The sequence below is a fragment of the Homo sapiens genome, chromosome X, assembly GCF_000001405.40.
Source record: "Homo sapiens chromosome X, GRCh38.p14 Primary Assembly".
Lineage (NCBI taxonomy): Eukaryota > Metazoa > Chordata > Mammalia > Primates > Hominidae > Homo > Homo sapiens.
The window spans coordinates 73,784,795-73,786,165 of NC_000023.11; the positions used below are offsets into that span (position 1 = coordinate 73,784,795).

Here is a 1,371-nt window from a genome sequence, read left to right on the forward strand (position 1 = left end):
TAAACCCAGCATTTTGGGAGGCCAAGGCAGGTGGATCACTTCAGGTCAGGAGTTCAAGACCAGCCTGGCCAACATGATGAAACCCCATTTCTACCAAAAATACAAAAATTAGCCAGGTGTGGTGGTGGGTGCCTGTAATCCCAGCTACTCAGGAGGCTGAGGCTTAAGAATCGCTTGAACCTGTGAAGCAGAGGTTGCAGTGAGCCAAGATCGTGCCACTGCACTCCAGCCTGGGTGACACAGTGAGATTCTGTCTCAAAAAAAAAAAAAGATATTGAATAAAAAGTTATTCAACCTTGTTATTAAAGTCACATATTACAATCTTATAGCCTGACCATCCCCCTGGGTGTTGCTAAACATGAAGGCTCCTCCCTTCAGGACTTCACAAACACAATCTTATTGAAATAACTGAAAGCTTCTGCTTTTGATATGAGCAGCAGAGGATCCTGGAGATTGATGGTTGTAAGAGGTTATGTAAGTTTCACACAGCATTGGGTTAGGTGTCAGACTTGGATTTGAAACTATATTTTGTCACTTATTATCTGGATGGTCTTAGGCACATTGACTTTTTTCATTTTTTAATTGTTTTTATATTTGCTGGTTTATTATAAAGGATACTACAAAGGATATAGATGAAGAGATGTGTAGGATGAGGTATAGGGAAAGAGGTATAGAGCTTCCATGCCCTCCCTGGGTGTGCCACTCTCCAGGAACCTCCATATGTTCAGCTATCCAGAAGCTCTTTGAACCATGTCCTCTTGGGTTTTTACATAGGCTTCATTACAGAGGCATGGTTGATTAAACCATTGGCCATTGGTAATCAACTTGACCTTCAGCCTCTCTTCCCTCTCCAGAGTTTGGGGGATGGGGTTGAAAGCCCAACCCTCTAATCATGCCTTTGTCTTTCTGGTGACCAGCCCTACCCTGAAGGTGTCAGTCAACATTACCATATAAAAAGACAGCACTTTGGCGATTCCAAGGGTTTTAGGAGTTATATGCCAGGAAACTGGGATGAAGACCAAATATATATTTTAAAATATCACAGTCCACCCCTGGTATTTGAACCTGGATCCTTTACATCAAAAGGGCATGCAACTCAAAAGATATTGAATCCCATTCAGTCATTAATAATTGGTCCAATCCATCATCTTGCATTAATGTGTCCCAGGGTGAGGCCACTCAGGTTTACAGGCTTCCTTTTAATCTTGTCAGGTTCCAAAAGCAGTTGTTGTCTCAGCAAACATATAACTTCACACTTTCAGGCATCTGGAATAACTGGGCTAAGAGGCAGTGTCATCTCTTGCTGTCTCTTTTGAAGTATTTATGTAATGTTTAATTTCTCTCAATTTTTAACCCATTTATTTACTCAAA

At 41.4% G+C, this 1,371-nt stretch overlaps 1 annotated feature.

Annotated features, from left to right (window-relative positions):
• Positions 672-1,371: an enhancer, noted in NCBI's record as "NANOG hESC enhancer chrX:73005301-73006000 (GRCh37/hg19 assembly coordinates)". NCBI's record gives its function as "activates a minimal SCP1, AML or CMV promoter by ChIP-STARR-seq in naive H9 embryonic stem cells {active_cell/tissue: H9 hESC(naive)}" and the evidence as "EXISTENCE:reporter gene assay evidence [ECO:0000049][PMID:30033119]".